The sequence below is a fragment of the Homo sapiens genome, chromosome 10, assembly GCF_000001405.40.
Source record: "Homo sapiens chromosome 10, GRCh38.p14 Primary Assembly".
In the NCBI taxonomy this organism is placed as follows: Eukaryota; Metazoa; Chordata; class Mammalia; order Primates; family Hominidae; genus Homo; species Homo sapiens.
In genome coordinates, this window is record NC_000010.11 from 74,176,754 (window position 1) to 74,196,397 (window position 19,644).

Genomic DNA, 19,644 nt, shown 5'->3' on the forward strand with positions numbered 1-19,644 from the left:
CGCGCTCCCAGTCGCTGAGTGCCTGAGCCGGGAAGCAGTTGCTGTGGTACCTGCTGCTGCCCGAGCGGACGTAGAGCATCGGACGCGGGCGCCGTGGCGCTGGGCAGGAGGGCGAAGCCATGACGTCAGTCAGGTAACGAGCGGGCGGCTGCCTTGACTGCTCCGAGCTGGGCGTTAGCCTCCCGAGCGCGTGAGCACTGTCGCTCCTTCTCGCGGGTGGTCTGGAGCCTGCCTCCGCCTCTGGTCCCCCTCGTGTTGGGGGTTCCCTCCGCACTTTTCATTTGGGCATTTCTGCTTTCCTCAGAAGTTTTCGGGTCTGTGGCACATTGCGGAGTTCTGTGTGTCGCTGCTTGGTCGAGGTGACCCTCGCCCAAATTCCAGGGTTGCAAGCGTTCTTGGGTGTGTAGTGGATTTCCCATGAAAAATGTGCCCCACCCGCGCCCCCGGGGGCGGCCCAGGGCCGGAGGGAGCGTGGCGTGCACAGTGTGTGTCATGCCTGCGTGTCATGCCCTCTGACAGAACTTCATTGTTGGCCGGGAGCAGACCTGCAAAGTTGGCCCTTCTCTGATGCAGGTATATTGCCCTCAAGTTGTGAAATTGTGTGTCTCTAAAATGTTTGCTCATGACTGGAATTAGGACCCTGGTTCCCGAAGGTACCATCTTGTTTCTTTACTCCTTTTATCTCAGAGTCACAAGTGAAATGAGTTGAGAGATACTGGGCATGTAGCGAAATCCATGAAACTGGAGACTTTCCCCCAATTGCTCTTCCAGTTTGGAAGGTTCTTTTTTTGTTAATGAGGACAGGATAATGGGCTTGTCCACTTTCTCCCAGTAGCCTTGACTGAATGTTTAATTTACGCTAGTTCAACTATTTATAAAAAGAGATAAATTGCCTTATATACCCAGTGTTCTGACTGGCCTTTTTAAAAGCAGAACTTGGGCTTTGTTGTCCCAGAGAAAGGGAGGCCCCAGCACAAAAATGTGAAGAGAAATAAAATAAGCTCATTTTTGGTCTATGAGCTTTCCAGGCTCCACCCGTCCTGGTGATTTGAGGGCTTCTCAATGCCAATTTTTACTACATTGTGTTTAAGAGACAGCTTGGGAACCTAACCCTCAGTAAGATCTAACTGTGCTGAACTCGGACATAGTCTGTCTCTTAAATTGCATAATTATATATATATATATATATATATTTTTTTTTTTTTGAGACAGAGTTTCGCTCTTGTTGCCCAGGCTGGAGTGCAATGGCGCGCTCTCTGCTCACTGCAATCTCCGCCTCCCGGGTTCAAACGATTCTCCTGCCTCAGCCATCCAAGTAGCTGGAATTATAGGCGCCAGCCACCACACCCAGCTAATTTTGTAGTTTTAGTAGAGATGGGGGTTTCACCATATTGGCCAGGCTGGTCTCGAACTCCTGACCTCAAGTGATCCACCTGCCTTAGCCTCCCAAAGTGTTGGGATTACAGGAGTGAGCCACCGCTACTGGTCTAAATTGCTTCATTCTGTACTAACATAGACAAAGTACTTATCTCATTATGCAGAAGGAGATTCAGGTGCTGAAACATGGAGACCCACATGGAAGGATTTCACAGTAAATTATATTGGGGCATATAAATCTAGCTTTTAAAGCTAACAGTATTTTAGGATGAATTAGAATTAGGCTATTATACCCAGAGTTAATTCCCCTTCTTCCCATTCCCACTCTTATTATCACAGAATGCTACTAATTAGGTGTAGGGGTCAAATACTTTCTGTGTTAAGAATCAGTTGTTATGTGGATTCAGTTTTAATTGACTATCATCTTCCTGACCGTGCCTCATTGGAGAAACATCCAAATCTAAAGCTTCTGCTGTTTAATAAGTGACAGCAGGATGTATCTTTTACTGTAGGGGTTGATAGTTTTTTTTAAAAGACTGATGTAAAGGTTGACACCAGCCTTACTTGACATGTTTTGAAAGGATGGATAACTGATAATAAAATTTATTTATGCTTGTTTCTTCAGATGTCAGTCTGTATTTTACATAATCTTGAACTATGGTAACATGGCTCGAGAAAGCTCTTTTAGATGTTATTTAAACCAGCTATTACATTTTACACCTGAGGAAACTGAGACAAAAGTTGAGTGCCTTGTGCAAAATCAGCGGCAAAATTAGGAATTGAATCCAGATTTCCATGATTTAGTGCTCTGCATGGTGCCTTTGTAGAAACAATATACTATTTAAACTTCCTGAAAAAGCTGTTTCTGTGGACAGAAATTGTAAAGTATCATGAGAGACAACTATAGTAACTCTTTTGCTTTCTTCTTATCCTGCAACGAACTTGATAACTGGGGTTTAGAAGTAGGCAGGGTTAGCCAAGAGAACACAACTACTGGGTGTTGGGAAGTGCAGGGAGGCCATTGAAAGTGAAGTGACTCTGTATGGTGATAGTTTTGAATGAGTTGGTCATCCTACAGATACCAGCCATTTCCTGGTGAACACTACATTTAATACAATTATGTCATATCTTTAGTTTTTGCAATAATGATGTCAGACATGTTCCTATCAGAGGCATTTGAGCCAGAGCGACTCCATCTTGAATAGGGTCTGGGTAAAATAAGGCTGAGACCTACCAGGGTGCATTCCTAGGAGGTTAGGCATTCTTAGTCACAGGATGAGATAGGAGATAGTCAGAAGATACAGGTCACAAAGACCCTACAACAGGATGCAGTAAAGAAGCCAGCAAAAACTCACCAAAACCAAGATGGTGATGAGAGTGACTTCTGGTCATCCTCACTGCTTATTATACACTAATTATAATGTATTAGCATGCTAAAATACACTCCCACCAGTGCCATTGACAGTTTACAAATGCCATGGCAACGTTCAGACCTTACCCTATATAGTCTAAAAAGGTGAGAGACCTTCAGTTCTGAGATATCAGAACTGATTTCTTCCTTTCCTGGAAAACTCATGATTAATCCACCCCTTGTTTAGCATACAATCAAGAAATAACAAGATACTTAGTTGAGCAGCCCATACCCGTGCTCTGTCTTTGGAATCGTCATCCTTTTGTTTCTTTATTTCTCTAATAAACTTGCTTTCACTTTATGGACTTGCCTTGAATTCTTTCTTGCATGATGTCTAAGAACCCTCTTGGGGTCTAGATCGGGACCCCTTTCTGTTAACATTCCCATTTTGTGCTCAGTCTAACAGTAGCCTAAAAGGTAGGTATTATTGACCCCCTTTTACTGATAAGCTGAATGATTACAAGATATCCAACTCTGACTTTGTGTCCAATGTTCTTGTTTTATACCACCCTTAATTGTTGCTAAATATAGTAGTATGTGACTCTTTTCATAGCAATGGCTATGAAAGAATACAGGATTGGAAATCAATGAGGACCAATGGTCAGAATATCTTGGGCCCCACTGAGGGCCTTTTCTGAGTTACTGAGCTTCCATTTCTCTTTTCTTTTTATTATTATTATTATTATTATTATTGTTATTATTAATTATTATTTTGAGACAGTGTCTTGCTCTGTCGCCCAGGCTGGAGTGCAGTGGCGCGATCTCGGCTCATTGCAACCTCCACCTCCTGGGTTGAAGCCATTCTCCTGCCTCAGCCTCCCGAGTAGCTGGGTTTACAGACGCCTGCCTCACGCCCAGCTAATTTTTTTCTATTTTTGGTAGAGACGGAGTTTCATCATGTTGGCCAGGCTAGTCTTTTTTTTTTTTTTTTTTTTTGAGACGGAGTCTCGCTCTGTCACCCAGGCTGGAGTGCAGTGGTGCGATCCGGCTCACTTGAAGCTCCGCCTCCTGGGTTCATGCCATTCTCCTGCCTCAGCCTCTCTAGTAGCTGGGACTACAGGCGCCCGCCACCACGCCCAGCTAATTTTTTGTATTTTTAGTAGAGACGGGGTTTCACCGTGTTAGCCAGGATGGTCTCGATCTCCTGACCTCATGATCTGCCCGCCTCAGCCTCCCAAAGTACTGGGATTACAGGCGTGAGCAACCGTGCCCGGCTGGCCATGCTAGTCTTGAATTCCTGACGTCGTGATCCCCCCACTTCGGCCTCCCAAAGTGCTGGGATTACAGGCGTGAGCCACCGCCCCCAGCCCCATTTCTCTTTTCTATTCTGGACATTTGTTTAATGAAATAACTCAGTAGCAGAGATACTAATATGCATCCTACCAGTGTTGTTGGATAAGTGTAAAAGTGCTTTTAAATTTTAAAGCATTTTAAAAATAGAATAAAAGCACTTTGAGCCCTCTAGAGAATGGTGTCATCTGAGGAAAAAAATGTTTAAATCTTAAATTTTTAGACAGGAAACAAATTTACCTATCTAATTTTCTCATTTTACAGTTGAATTAAAGCCCAGAGATAGTGTGACATGTTCAAGTTCACACAGTTACATATCTTGAACTAGATATGAGATCTCTAGATACCTTGTTCAGTTCCCTTTCTAGTATAGCATTCAACTCTGAGGAATTCCTAAATAATGATTTTTTTTTGGGGGGGGTCTCTTTAGGAATTCCTAAATAATAATTTTAAATGAAAACTTTTCTTTTTTTTTAACTTAAGATCTTTGAATTTGGCTGGAGTTAGTATTTCATCATTTGTATTCTATTCTACTTAATTACTGATTAAGAGTCTAAATTTACAGCCTCTGAAACCAGATATCCTTGGGGAACAACTTATATCCTTTGTTATGTATATCAGATTCCTACTGGTCTTCATTTGGGAAATGATAGAACATATTTGATAAATTGATGCTTTTGTCATTTTAAATTGGCCCAATAGTTAAGTTGGCGCCTGAGTTAAGTTCAGGAGACAGAGGAAGATGCAGAATGTCAGGATTCAAAGAGGATCTTAGCATTTTACTTTTTTTCCTTTTCTATACTGGATCTTGTGTCCAAAGTAAAGTGAAATGTCCTACTTAGACCTAGTGGTAGAGCCTAAGATAGAATTTAGACCTTCTGACTCCTAATTTATGTATTTTTCACTGAGCAACACTATTTCAAAATTCCCCTCTGAATATTGCCTTGTTTTCCTAACATCAGTGTCTAGTCTGGTTTTGGGCATCGCTTACAGCTTGGGTTTGCGCCAGGGAAGACTAGGAAATGGAGTTGGGGAATATTTGTTGTAGAGCTAATGAGCCCTATTCTTTGGTCTGCCCAGATAGGTCAGGTTTGGTCTAAAACTATTCTGGGACTCTGGACATCACTGTGCCCTACATGATGATTCTGGAACCCACTTTTGTGGGTTAAGCCTACATTGGAAAATTTATGTGGGCAGTGGGTGGGGTCGTGGGGTATTTTCCTTCTAACACTCGAAACTTTTTGAGGTATGTCCAATAGAATCTGCCAAGCCACTCAGAACATTCATATGGAGACTAAAATCTGGCTAAGATTGAAACTGTCTTTGTTGAGTTGGTTTCTTTAGAGCCTTAAAGTTTTCAAACTCATTTTTACCTGTGTTTTTAAAATACGAATTGTAAATTCACATTACTGCACAATTTTTTTTATGCTGTGGGATGTTTTTAGAGAGGTAAGTGAGCTTTTAAACTAAAATTGTTTCATTTATGGAATATTTTGAAGAAGTAAAACAGAAATCTTTTTATTTATTTATTTATTTATTTATTTATTTATTTTTGAGACACAGTTATACTCTTATTGCCCAGGCTGGAGTGCAATGGCACAATATCTGCTCACTGCAACCTCCGCCTCCCGGGTTCAAGCAATTATCCTCTCTCAGCCTCCTGAGTAGCTGGAATTACAGGCACATGCCACCATGCCCGGCTAATTTTTGTATTTTTAGTAGAGATGGGGTTTCATCGTATTGGTCAGGCTGGCCTCGAACTTCTGACCTCAGGTGATTCTCCTGCCTTGGCCTCCCAAAGTGCTCACAGGCATGAGCTACCGTGCCGGCCAGGAATCTTTTATGTGCAACGTTGTCAGCTGTTAATGCTCCTATTTATGAATAGGTCACCTTTGTTTGAAAAAAGCGTACAAGGTTTTCTAACTCCAAATCTTTCCAGCCACAATATTGCTACGTTAAGCAGAACTGTCAAAGATAAAACTTGAACCAAAGTGATTTTCTAGACTGTTTGAATGTTAACCCTTTCCTGCAATATTGGTTAACAGTCACGTCTCCCTACCTCTTCATACCTCCTTGGTTTTATTTTATTATTTTTATTTTTTGAGGCACGGTCTTGCCCTGTTGCCCTTGCTGGAGTGTGGTGGCATGAACACAGTTCACTGCAACGTCAACCTCTGGGCTTAAGTGATCCTACCACCTCAGCCTCCTGAGCAGCTGGGAGTAGTCCCACTTGTAGTCCCTACAGTCCCACCTGTAGTCCTGTAGTCCCACCTTTGTATTTTTTGTAGAGATGGGGTTTAACCATATTGTCCAGGCTGGCTTTGAACTCCTGAGCTCAAGTGATCCACCTGCTTTGACCTCACAAAGTGCTGGGCCTCCCAAAATGCTGGGATTACAGGCATGAGCCGCTGTGCCCAGCCACATCCTTGGTTTTAAATTGTTATTTAAAAAATACTGTTGCTGGGCACGGTGGCACATGCCTATAATCTCAGCACTCCGGGAGGCCGAGGTGGGAGGATCACTTTGAGGCCAGGAGTTCAAGGCCAGCCTGGGCAATATGATAAAACCCCGTCTCTACAAAAAATACGAAAATTTGCAGGGTATGATGGTATTGTGCCTGTAGTCCCAGCTACTTCAGAAGCTGAGTCAGGAGGATCCCTTGATCCTGTAATGAAATATACTATTTTTTTTTTTTTGAGATGGAGTTTTGCTCTTGCTGCCCAGGCTGGAGTGCAGTGGCGCCATCTTGGCTCACCGCAACCTCCACTTCCCAGGTTCAAGCAATTCACCTGACACAGCCTCCCTAGTAGCTGGGATTACAAGCGTGTGCCACCACACCTGGCTGATTTTGCATTTTTAGTAGAGATGGGGTTTCTCCATGTTGGTCAGGCTGGTCTCGAACCCAGCCTCAGCTTACCCACCCACCTCGGCCTCCCAAAGTGCTGGGATTATAGGCACAAGCCACCACGCCTGGCCATGAAATATACTACTAATAAAATAAAATACTGTGATAAAACATAAATAAACATTTTTATTTTTTACTTTTTACTTTTTTAGCTGGCATTCTGGTCTGAGATTATTTTATTTTATTTTTATTTTATTCGAGACAGAGTCTCGCTCTGTCACCCAGGCTGGAGTGCAGTGGCACAATCTCAGCTCACCGCAACCTCCGCCTCCCGGATTCAAGCAATTCTCCCTGCCTCAGCCTCCCGAGTAGCTGGGATTACAGGTGCCCACCACCACGCCCTGCCAATTTTTGTATTTTTAGTAGAGACGGGGTTTCACAATGTTGGCAAGGCTGGTCTTGAACTCCTGACCTCAGGTGATCCACCCACCTTGGCCTCCCAAAATGCTGGGACTACAGGTGTGAGCCACTGTGCCCGGCAGAGATTTTTATTTTTTAAATGGCAAAGCTAGGTTATGAACAGGATGACCATATGTTCCAGTTTGCCCAGGACAATTCTGGATCATGCCTGTTATCCTGACATTATTATTTATTATTATTTTTTCTTTTGTAGACACAGGGTCTTGCTCTGCTGCCCAGCTGGAGTGCAGTAGTGCAATCATGGCTCACTGTAACCTTGAAATCCTGGGCTCAAGTGATCCTCCCACCTCAGCCCTCCAGAGAGGCTGGGACTATAAACACACACCACCATGCCTGGCTATATTTTGTGTGTGTGTGTGTGTGTGTGTGTGTGTGTGTGTGTGTGTGTCAGGGGGGTGGGTAAAGATGGGGTCTTGCCATGTTGCCCAGGCTGGTCTTGAACCTCCTGGCCTCAAACTCTTGGTCAAGTGATCCTCCCGCCTCAGCCACCTAAAGTGCTGGGATTATAGGCATGAGCCATTGTCCCCGGCTATCCTGACACAATTATTAATAGACACATAAATGTGTCTCATTTACTCTCAAAAGTGTCCCATTTGGATAATAAATTATCTGGTCACCTACATATGCATTACAATCATTTTGTTGTACTAGGTTTTGTTTGTTGAAATGTTATTTGAACTAGGACCATAAGATAATGGAATTTTGGCCTATTTTGGGTACATTTGGATGTTTTTCATTGGTCAGACATTTTTATTGTATGGAGAGTTCTGAGTGTACAAATGTATATTAAATAGTAATGCACATGATTTGAAATTAGGGATTATTTGTTATCTTACTTTTGGGAGGTTACATAACCTTGAGGAACCTCTTGTTTCCTCATCCGTTAAAAAGAGATAATAGCGATACCTATCCTACATGGGTGTTTTGAAGATATTAAAGAGGTGACATACCAAAAAATGCATTTTAAGTTGAAAATTGTTATATAAGTGTTAGTCATGTCACACATGTGCCTTTCTGCAATTGAATTTAAAATGAATAATTTTACCTAGTTTGGGGAACTTACTATTTGATAGAGCACTGGTAGTGTTTTGCTGTAAAGGAGAGCAGGGAAATAATGGTAGTTGGAAGTACATGCTGGGCTAAGGTTTTCTGCGGGGAGGTTTTGAAATTTTCACATTTGTGTGCTGAAAAGAGTGGTCCAATAGAAAGCAGAAAAAATAGATGATGCTTGACAGAAGGAAGAAATCAATGTTGAGTAGGAAAGAAGGATAGAATCTAGAATACATATGGAAGGATTGGCTTTACGTAACCAAGAAACACATTTCCCTAGTCTGTTCACTTTAAAAAAAAATGCCAACAATATAATTTTTTTTTTTTTTTGAAGCAGAGTCGTCGGCCGGGCGCGGTGGCTCACGCCTGTAATCCCAGCACTTTGGGAGGCCGAGGCGGGTAGATCACGAGGTCAGGAGATCGAGACTATCCTGGCTAACACAGTGAAACCCCGTCTCTACTAAAAATACAAAAAAAAAATTAGCCAGGCGTGGTAGCGGGCGCCTGTAGTCCCAGCTACTCGGGAGGCTGAGGCAGGAGAATGCCGTGAACCCGGGAGGCGGAGCTTGCAAGTGAGCCGAGATCGTGCCAGTGCAGTGCAGCCTGGGCGACAAAGCGAGACTCCGTCTCAAAAAGAAAAAAAAAAAAAAAAAAAAAAAGAAACAGATCCTCCCTCTGTTGCCCAGGCTGGAGTGCAGCTGCCCGATCTCGGCTCACTGCAACCTACCTCTCCTGGGGTCAAGGGATTCTTCTGCCTCAGCCCCCTGAGTAGCTGGGATTACAGGTGCGCCCCACCGTGCCAGGCTAATTTTTGTATATTTTTGTAGAGATGGAGTTTCACCATGTCGGCCAGGCTGCTCTGGAACTCCTGACCTCAAGTGATCTGCCTACCTCGGCCTCCCAAAGTGCTGGGATTACAGGCGTTAGCCACTGTGCCTGGCTCTCTCAGTATAATTTACCTAAAGTCAAATCAGCCTTCCCTTTCCTTCCCTTCCCTTCCCTTCCCTTCCTTTCCCTTCCCCTCCTTTCCCTTCCCCTTCCGCCTTTCCCCTTTCCCTTCTCCCTTCTCCCCTTTCCCTTCTCCTTTCCTTTCCACAGGGTCTTACTTTGTCGCCCGGGCTTGAGTGCAATGGGGCAAACACGTCTCACTGCAACCTTGACCTCCCCAGCCCAAGCCATCTACTTGCCTCAGTCCCCCAAGTAGCTGGGGCTACAGGTGTGCACCACCACGCCTGGCTATTTTTTTTGTATTTTTTGTAACAATGCCGGGGGAGTGGGGTGGGGGTGGGGTCTTGCTATGTTGCCCAGGGTGGTCTTGAACTCCTGAGCCCAAGTGATCCACCCACCTCGGCCTTCCAAAGTGCTGGGATTACAGGTGTGAGCCACTGTGCCTGATCCAGCCTCTTTTTAATTAATTCTGTCCCCCTTCTCACCCAGGCAACCACTTTTGGACTTCTTTTACTATAGATGTTAGTTCTGCCTGTTCTAGAACTTCACATAAATGGAATCATACAGCAAGGAGTATTTTGTGTCTGATTACTTTTGTTCAATATAATATTTTTTAGATTCACCCATTTTGGTGTGTGTATCAGTAGTTTTTCCCTTTTATTGTGAAGTAATATTCCATTATATGTATGTAGCAACAAGTCTTCTATTGATGGGCTTTGGGTTATTTCCAGTTTTTGGTTACTATGAGTAAAGTTGCTATGAACATTTTTGTATATATCTTTATGTGGACTTGGGTAAATATCTAGGAGTGAAATTGCTGTGTACTAGGGTAGATTTATGTTTAACTTTAGAAACCACTAAACTTTTCCAAAATGGAAAATTTAACACTTTTTACATTCCCACCAGTTTTTTTTTTATGAGAGTTCAGTTTTCCACATTCTTCACAATGTTTGGCATTTTAAAATTTAGGCATTCTCCTGAGTGTGTACTTGTATTTCATCATGGTTTTTGTTTATATTTCCTTGATGGCTAATATGTGATTATTGGCCATTTGCTTATCTTTTATTTTGAAGTGTCAATTCATTTCTGAAATATTATCACTGAATAATATTTCATTGTATAGATATGCCACAATTTATCCATTTATCACTTGATAGATATTTGGATTATTTTCACTTTTGGGCTATTATGAACAATGGTGCTATAAACATTTATGTACAAGTTTTTATTAAACTTTTATGTGCAACCCTATTTTATTGGGTTGTCTTTTTGTTGCTGATTTGTAGGAGTTCTCTTTATATCTGAATGCAGGTTATTTGCCAGGTTTCTCAGATTTTACACGCACATACACACACACACACACTCTTTCTCTCTCTCTCTCTAAATATTTTCTCCTGGTCTGAGCTATGTTGTTGCATTTTCTTAATGCCTTTTGAGAGCAGAACTTTTAAGTTTTGAGCAAGTTGAATTTGTTGATTTATTTTATTTTATGGTATTACCTTTTCTGTTCTAAGAAGTCTTTCCTTACTCTCTGCTAGGCTTGTGAAACTATTCTCTCATGGTTTTTTTCTAGAAGCTTTATGTTTTTGTCTTTTGTATTTAGGCCTATGATCTATCTTAAACTACTCTTTTGCTATCATGTAAGGGTTTCTCAAAAGGATTTTCAATTAATTGATTAGATAGCTGTGGGTCTTTTCTTGGATTTGTTCTATTCTGTTGATTTATTTGTATCTTCTTATGTCAATGCCACACTGTCTTAATTATTGTAGCTTTATAAGATTGGTATTGTTACTTTAAATTTTGATAGAATTAATCAGTGCAGCCGTGTGGGCCTGGAGTGTTTTTGTGGGAAAAAGCAGAAGGTTTTAAATTAGTGTAATTACTTTTACAGGTTTAATTACTTTAGCTGATATATAAGCATTCAGGTTCTTCACTTTTTCCTGTGGCAGTTTTAAGAAGTTGAATTTTTAAATGAATTTATTCTCAATTGTTGAGTTGTTATAAAGTTCATAAAATTTCCTAATATTCTGTTATTGCCTGTATGAACTGCTGTATGTCTCCATTTGCATTCTTGATGTTGGTACTTCTTTTGAATTTTTGGATCAGTTTTGCTAGGGGTTTAGCAATTAATCTTTTCAAAAACCCAGATTTTGTTTTGTTGAATTTCTATTTTGGACATGTATTTTTAATTTTTTTTTTTTTTTTTTTTTTTGAGACGGGGTCTTGCTTTGTCACCCAGGCTGGAGTGCAGTGGCGCGATCTTGGCTCACTGCAAGCTCCGCCTCCCGGGTTCACACCATTCTCCTGCCTCAGCCTCCCGAGTAGCAGGGACTACCGGCACCCGCCACCACACCCGGCTAATTTTTTTTGTGTGTTTTTAGCAGAGACGGGGTTTCACCGTGTTAGCCAGGATGGTCTCCATCTCCTGACCTCGTGACCTGCCTGCCTCGGCCTCTCAAAGTGCTGGTATTAGGGGCATGAGCCACTGCGCCCGGCCACCTTGCTCTCCTCTTGTGGATTTGATTTGCTCTCTTTTTTCTACCTTTTTTGAGTTAGAAGTTTAGATTATTGTTTTTAAACCTTTCTTGTTTTCTAATGTGCATTTCATTTCATTCATTCATTCATACATTCATTCAGAGACGGAGTCTTGCTCTGTTGCCCAGGCTGGAGTGCAGTGGTACGATCTTCGTTTACTGCAACCTTCGCCTCCCAGGTTCAAGCGATTCTTCTGCCTCAGGCTCCCGAGTAGCTGGGACTATAGGCGTGCACCACCACGCCAGGCTGATTTTTGTATTTTTAGTAGAGACGGGGTTTTACCATGTTGGCCAGGCTGGTCTCTAACTCCTGACCTCGTGATCCGCCCACCTTGGCCCCCCAAAGTGCCACCGCTCCCAGCCACATTTCTTTCATTATTATTATTTTTTCTTTGCTAACCCCTAGTAGTCATTCTAATGTACATTTCTTATATAATTAACATTTTCTTCTAAGTACTCCTTTAGCTGCAGCATACAATTTCGATGTGTTCAATTCAAATTTCTATTTCCATTGTGATTTTTCTGGTCCACAGGTCATTTAGAAGTTTATTGTTTCTTAATATTTGGGGATTTTTTAGCTATTTTCAATTTTACATGGTGTTCAGGGAATGCGTTGTTGACATATTGTGTACATATCTGTACCATATATCTGTAAATGATAAGTTGTTTATCATTTTAATCCTTTGATAGCTACTGAGATTAGTTTTAAGGCCTACCCTGTGGTGGTCTGTTTTGGTGAATGTTACCTGTGTCTCTAATTCCGCTCTGCAATATTTTGAGGTTTTCAGTGTAGATATTTTATGTATCTTTTATTAAATACGGTGTATACTGCAGTTATTGAATTTAGTGTTCTATAATTTATCAATTAGGTCAGATAGTTTTATGTGTTTGTTACTATATAACTGAGATATAATTCAGCTACTGTAAAATGCACCACTTAAAAATTGCACAGCTCAGTAGTTTTCAGTATATTCACAAGGTTGTACAGCCATCGGCACTATTTAATTCCAGAACGTTTTTGTCCCCCAAAATGAAAACCCATACCCGTTAGCAGTTACTCTTCATGTCTCCCTAACCTCTAACCCCTGGCAACCACTAATCTACCTTGTCCCTACAAATTTGCCTATTCTGAACATTTCCTAAGTGGAATCATATAATATTTGGCCTTTTGTAGCTGGCTTTTTTTTTTAACTAAGTATGTTTTCAAAGTTCATACATGTTGTAGCGTGTATCAGTATTTCATTCTTTCTTATGACTGAAATAATATTTCATTGTATAGATATGCCCCAATTTATCCATTTATCACTTGAGAGATATATGGGTTATTTTCACTTTTGGGCTGCTATGAATAATGGTGCTATAAACATTCATCTACAAGTTTTTGTGGTGTTCTATTTTTCTATTTCCCCTAAGGGTAGAATTGCTGGGGCATGTGGTAATTTTATGTTTACTTTTTGAGCAACTGCCAAACTATTTTCCAAAGCGGCTGAATCACTTTATAATTTGCAACAGCAATGTATGAAGATTCCAGTTTCTCCACATTCTTGTCAATACTTGTTACTGTTCTAGTCTTCGCTGAGAGGCTCTGTGTGCTTGTTGGAGCACACTTTCAGCACTCAACCAGGCTTTCAGTTCATCCATAGCCTTGACTTCCTGTTTTGCCGAGCTTCATGCTCAGTCAGTGGTGATTGCTTAGGGCCTTCTCAGGTCTTTCTTGAGTATGCCCATAGGCCTGGGCACACTGTTTTCATCTTCCAGGGTCTTAGGAATTTCAGAACTTTTCAAAACTCCCTATGGACATCTCATTCTCCTACTTTTCCTTTTGTGTTTTTTGGTTAGCTTGTTTGCCCCAGCTGCTTCAGGGAGCTGAAATGTTAAGCAATTGTAGCTGATTGTTTTTGACAAATAAATACCTTGGGGGAAAAGCCTGTTAGCAATGGGCAAGCTCTGAATCAGGTTAAATATTAGGAAGTCTTGGGAGTGGGGTTTTTCAGGGAATTGCTAGTCAGCTCAAATAATAACTGTACTCTGAAAATGGGACTTTGAAGGAACTCTAGCCCTGTTCTGTCACCTCCACTGGCTGCTAGGCTCCAGGATTCCACAGATTGTGGTTTGCTGCTTTTCAGGGCTAGCCTGGAGCTGGGAAGAGGGGCATGGGAATAAGGCATGTTAAAATGCCACAAAGCTTGCTATTCTTACTGAGATGCAGCCATCTTTTTTTGAATAAATGCTCCTTGGATTGTTGCAAACTTTTTGGTTAATATTCAGAGTTCTGAAAAAGGCTATTTTTGACTTTTTTTTTTTTTTTTTGAGATGCAGTCTTGCATTGTCGCCCAGGCTGAAGTGCAATGGTGTAATTTTGGCTCACTGCAACCTCTGCCTCCCAGGTTCAAACGATTCCCCTGCTTCAGCCTCTGGAGTATCTGGGATTATAGGCACCTGCCACCATGCCCAGCTAATTTTTGTATTTTTAGTAGCGACGGGGTTTCACCAGGTTGGCCAGGCTGGTCTCGAACTCCTGACCTTGTGATCTGCCCGCCTTGGCCTTCCAAAGTGCTGGGATTACAGGTGTGAGCCACTATGCCCGGCCCAAGTCTTGACATTTTTTTGCCAGTGTTCTTGTTGGTTTTATGGAAGAGAGGATTTTTGGAGGTCCTTACTCTGCCATTCCCAATGATGTCACCCAATTTGTTTTTTAAGCATTAAAAAAAATTATTTTAAAATATAAAGACAGGGTCTCACTATGTCAATTAAAAAGACAGGGTCTCGCCCAGGCTGGTCTCGAACTCTTGGGCTCAAGTGATTGTCCTGCCTTGGCCTCCCAAAGTGCTGAGACTACAGGTGTGAGCCACCACACCTGGCCTAAACATTTTTAATATATCTGTTTTTATATCCTGTTCCTCCCTTTTCTTTTGAAATACAACTCACAGAAATTGCAAAAATAGTACAGAAAGTTCCTGTGCACCATTCACTCAACTTCCCCCAATGATATATCTTTTATAACTATAGTGTGTTACCAAAACCAGGAAGCTGATTTCGGTGTTATACAATAGTATTAAATTAACTATAGACGTTATTAGAATTTCACGGGTTTTTGTATATACTGTTTTTAATTGAGGAGGTGGTGGTGTATAGTTCTATAAAGTTTTATCATGTCCAGATTCATGTAGCTATTACCACATTCAGGGTATTAAACTATTCTGTTACCACAAAGAAATTTCTTCATATTATTTCTTTATGGTTATGCTTTTCTCTGAACCCTAACCCCTGGCAACTACTGATCTGATTTCCATCACTGTAATTTTGTAACTTCGAGAGTGTTATATAAATGGAATCATATAGTAGGTAACCCGTAGATACGGCTTTTTTCTCACTTAGCACAATGCCTTTGAGATCCGTTTAAGTTGTTGTGTGTGTCATAGTTCATTCCTTTTTATTGTTTCTCTTTTATGGGTGTACCATAGTTTGTTTACCTATTTACTTGTTGAAGGACATTTATTATGTTTCCAGATTTTTACCATTTTTTTTTCTTTTTCTTTCTTTTATTTGTTTTTTTTGAGACAGAGTCTTGCTCTGTCACCCAGGCTGGAGTGCAGTGCCGCGATCTTGGCTCACCACAACCTCCGCCTCCCGGGTTCAAGTGATTTTTCTGCCTCAGCCTCCTGAGTAGCTGGGATTACAGGCGCACACTACCACACCCAGCTAATTTTTCTGTTTTTAGTAGAAGCAAGTTTTCACTATGTTGGTCAGGCTAGTCTCGAACTCCTGACCTTGTGATCCGCCCGCCTCGGCCTCCCAAAGTGCTGGGATTACAGGCGTGAGCCACTGCACCTGGCCCATTTTTTTTTTTTTTCAAACAGATATGGTTTTGCTCTCTCTGTCACTCAGGCCAGAGTGTATTGGCATGATCATTGCACACTACAGTCCTCCTGGGCTTAAAGAATTCTCCCACCTCAGCTTCCTGAGGAACTAGGAGTAGAGACATGCACAACTGCACCCAGCTAGTAATTTTAATTTTTGTAGAGATGAGGTCTTACTATGTTGCCCAGGCTGGTCTTGAGCTCTGGCCTCAAGTGATCCTCCTACCTCAGCCTCCCAAAGTGCTGGGATTACAGGTGTGAGCCACCATGGCTGGCCTAGTGTTTTACAAATAAATCTGTTAGGAACATTTGTGTACAGATTTCTCTGTGTACTTAAGTTTTTCTTCCTCTGGGATAAATGCTGTGTAGTGTGATTCTTTAATTTTTGGTGTGTCTGCCTGTTTTACTAATTACTGAAAGAAGGGTGCTAAACTAAGATTATGTATTTGCCTATTTCTTTTGTTTCTAAGTTTTTAAAAAAGTATTTTGAAGCCATTTTATTTGGTGTGTACATATTTTGTATTGTTACCTTTAGCATTTCTTTTCTTGATGATTTGACCTATTTTCATGAAATCCCTTTGTATCTGGTGATACTCTGTATTTTAAAGCTTACCTTGTCTGTGTCTTAATATAGCCACTGTATAGTGTCTATATAGTGTCTTAATATAGCCACTGTAATTTATGATTAGTGTTTTCTTTTTTTTTCTTTTTTTTATTATACTTTAAGTTTTAAGGTACATGTGCACAACATGCAGGTTTGTTACATATGTATACATGTGCCATGTTGGTGTGCTGCACCCATTAACTCGTCATTTAACATTAGGTATATCTCCTAATGCTATCCCTCCCTCCTCCCGCCTCCCCCCACCCCAGTGTGATTAGTGTTTTCATGGTGTGTCTTTTTGCTAACTTTTTATTTTCAAAACTTCTTTGTCTTTATAAAAGTGTATCTTGTGCTAGGCATGCTGGCTCATGCCTGTAATCCTAGAACCTAGGGAGGCTGAGGCAGAAGTATAGCTTGAGCCCAAGAGTTTGAGATGAGCCTGGGCAACAGAGGGAGACCCAGTCTCTATTAAAAAGAAAAAAATTAACTGGGTATGGTGGCTATAGTCCCAACTTATTGGGAGGCTGAGGTGGGAGAGCTTGGGAGGTTGAGCCTGCAGTGAGCTGTGATTGCACCACTGCCCTCCAGCCTGGGCAACAGAACAGGAGCCTGTCTCAAAAAAAGAAAGAAACAAAAGATCAGAACCTATAATCACAGAATCACTGAAAACCCATGGAATTATCATATGCTAGCCATTGGGAATACAAATGTAAATGAGATTTCAAAAAAATCTTTACCCTTTGTTGTCTAGGTGGTTAAGATCAGTTGATTGAGATAAAGTTCAAAGCAACCCCTAAAATCAACTAAAAAGTTCATCAAAGGACTTTTAGAACTGAGCAGGAGGGAATGAATAAATCTTTGGGAGGGAGGGATGCAGTGCCTTGATATACAGTACCAGGAGCCATTTTCTACATTGTTAACAGCACTCTTGAGTGATGTTGGTGGCAGCTTGTATATCTTATGTGGAAGCCCTTGGGTAGGAGTCGATCAGGAAAAACTTCCCAAGACAGGTAGCATACAGGGAATTTTAAAAAGATGAATGGGAGTTTGCCAGGCAAAGGAAGCAGGAGAAGAACTTTACAAGCAGAGTCTTATTCAAAGAACAGTAAGGCATTATGATTAAAATAGTTTGTATATATTAGAATGGTGAGAGGTAAGGTTAAAGAATTACTGAATTTTGATTATCTTAGTGTGCACATTTCTTCCCATTTTAACAACTCTGAAATTGGCATACATCTTACAACTGATTGTGTTTTGCATCACCATTGGAAATTGGGATTATTTTATGAATAATGGCATCTTAGATATGATGAAATATGGTAAGTTTGAGTAGATTCAATGTCCTTTAAGTTATGCTTTTGGATTTTATCCTATTAATAATCAGAAGCTAGGTAGATTTTAAGTAGAAAAATATTATGTCTAGAATTGTTTAAAATAATATGATTTTGGTGATATTGTGCAGGATTTATTGTGGCTAAAACAATTGCTAACAATGTAGAAATTCAGGCAATGTCTGCAGAGGGCCTAGTGCTAGTGGGTGTATTGTGGGAAATCCAGGTACAGGAAGCGTTTGATAAAACCAAGATGATGTCGTTACTAGTAAGATGGGGCTAGTTGACGTAGAGAGAAGAGTCATATAAAGCTGAGGTTTCTGGATTTAAAGAGAAGATGACTGGTGTAACAGTTAAAGGCAGTCATTGTTAGTGTTTATTCTGGCATCATAATTAAATGTTTCTATTACTGAGAGGGCTAATCAACATTCAAACATTAATATATCAATAGCCAAGAAAAGATTTTCTCAGGAACTCTTACTGTAAAATATATGTCAGTATAAAATTTGTTGACTGTCCAATAAAATAATAATTATAGTGTAGGTTTATGTTGGCTGCAAGCCTAAATTATGAGACATTTATAAAATTACTGACCGCTCCCCCCCCCAAAAAAAAAAGATTGTTCAGAATCTCTCATCCTAGCATCCATTCCAAGAAAAAGATATTGCTAACATTTGGAATAAAAAGTAATCCCAGTACGGGTTAGTCATAGTTTTTGGCTATAGACTAAACCTCATCTTGTTCACATTCTAGTAGAACAAGATAAAAACAAATGCTTATTCATATAGTATGTTCATCATTTAAGAAGGTCATAGTATTTACTGGCCTGGACACTAGTTTATATGTGTTTGTATTTAAGAAACTAGCCATTATAATCTCAATTATGTGCAGTGAAGGAGAGAGAAACGTGACATGAGCAAAGTTTTATTTGCTTTTGAAAATAATTGTATCTTTTTTACTTAACTTACTATTTCAAGATATCTTTTATATGCTACTTTATTTAATTAATTTGTTTTTAAGACAGGGTCTTATTCTGTCACCCAGGGCTGGAGTGCAATGGTGCAATTACAGCTTACTGCAACCTCGACCTTCCAGGCTTAAGCGATCCTCCCACCTCAGCCTCCCTGGTAGCTGGGATTATGGGTGTGCACCACCATGCCTGGCTCAATTTTTTATATTTTTCTTTTTCTTTCTTTCTTTCTTTCTTTCTTTTTCTTTTCTTTCTTTTTTTTTTTTTTTTTTTTGAGGTAGTAGCATACTCATGGCTCACTGTAGCCTCAACCTCCTGGGCTCAAGGATTCTTCCACCTCAGCTTCCCTAGTAACTGGGGCTATAGGCACATGCCACCACACGCGGCTAATTTTTGTATTTTTTGTAGAGATGGAGTCTCGCCATGTTGCCCAGGCTGGTCTTGAACTCCTGTGCAGAGGCAATGCGCCCGCCTCAGCCTCCCAAAGTGCTGAGATTACAGGTGTGAGCCACTGTGCCCAGCCAATTTTTTGTAGAGATGGAGTTTTGGCATGTTGCCCTGGCTGGCCTTGAACTCCTGGACTCAAACCATCTACATGCCTCAGCCTCCCAAAGTGCTGGGATTACAGGTGTGAGCCACCACGTCCAGCCTGTGCTAATTTAAATTATTTTCTCCTCACTGCTGTACTAGCCACAACTTCTGCAACCAGTTTCATGTGGGCTTTGGACAATTGCAGCCTAACAGCATCACTCATCAGGGTCTATGTTGCATACGTTCTCCCTTGGGGAACTGTAATGTTAAGATTAGGCTGGGTGCGGTGGCTCACACCTGTAATCCCAGCACTTTGGGAGGCCAAGGAGGGCAGATCACGAGGTCAAGAGATGGAGACCATCCTGGCCAACATGGTAAAACCCCATCTCTACTAAAAATACAGAAATTAGCTG

At 41.1% G+C, this 19,644-nt stretch overlaps 1 protein-coding gene across 13 annotated transcripts in view, besides 1 other annotated feature; it reads left to right on the top strand.

Annotated features, from left to right (window-relative positions):
• ADK (adenosine kinase) overlaps positions 1 to 19,644 on the top strand; it is a 558,070-nt gene that overhangs the window by 25,533 nt on the left and 512,893 nt on the right. For 7 of the 13 annotated variants that reach the window (NM_001123.4, XM_017015702.2, NM_001369124.1 and 4 more), the window contains exon 1: positions 10 to 133. The exons of the other annotated variants lie outside the window; for them this stretch is intronic. In NM_001123.4, coding sequence (NP_001114.2) covers positions 120 to 133 — 14 coding nt within the window. In that variant the 5' untranslated portion in view covers positions 10 to 119. Of the gene's footprint in view, positions 1 to 9; positions 134 to 19,644 lie in introns of those variants that run through there. 13 annotated transcript variants of the gene reach the window in all.
• Positions 13,457 to 13,516: an enhancer, noted in NCBI's record as "active region_3593". NCBI's record gives its function as "activates an Ori minimal core promoter by ATAC-STARR-seq in GM12878 lymphoblastoid cells {active_cell/tissue: GM12878}" and the evidence as "EXISTENCE:reporter gene assay evidence [ECO:0000049][PMID:35858748]".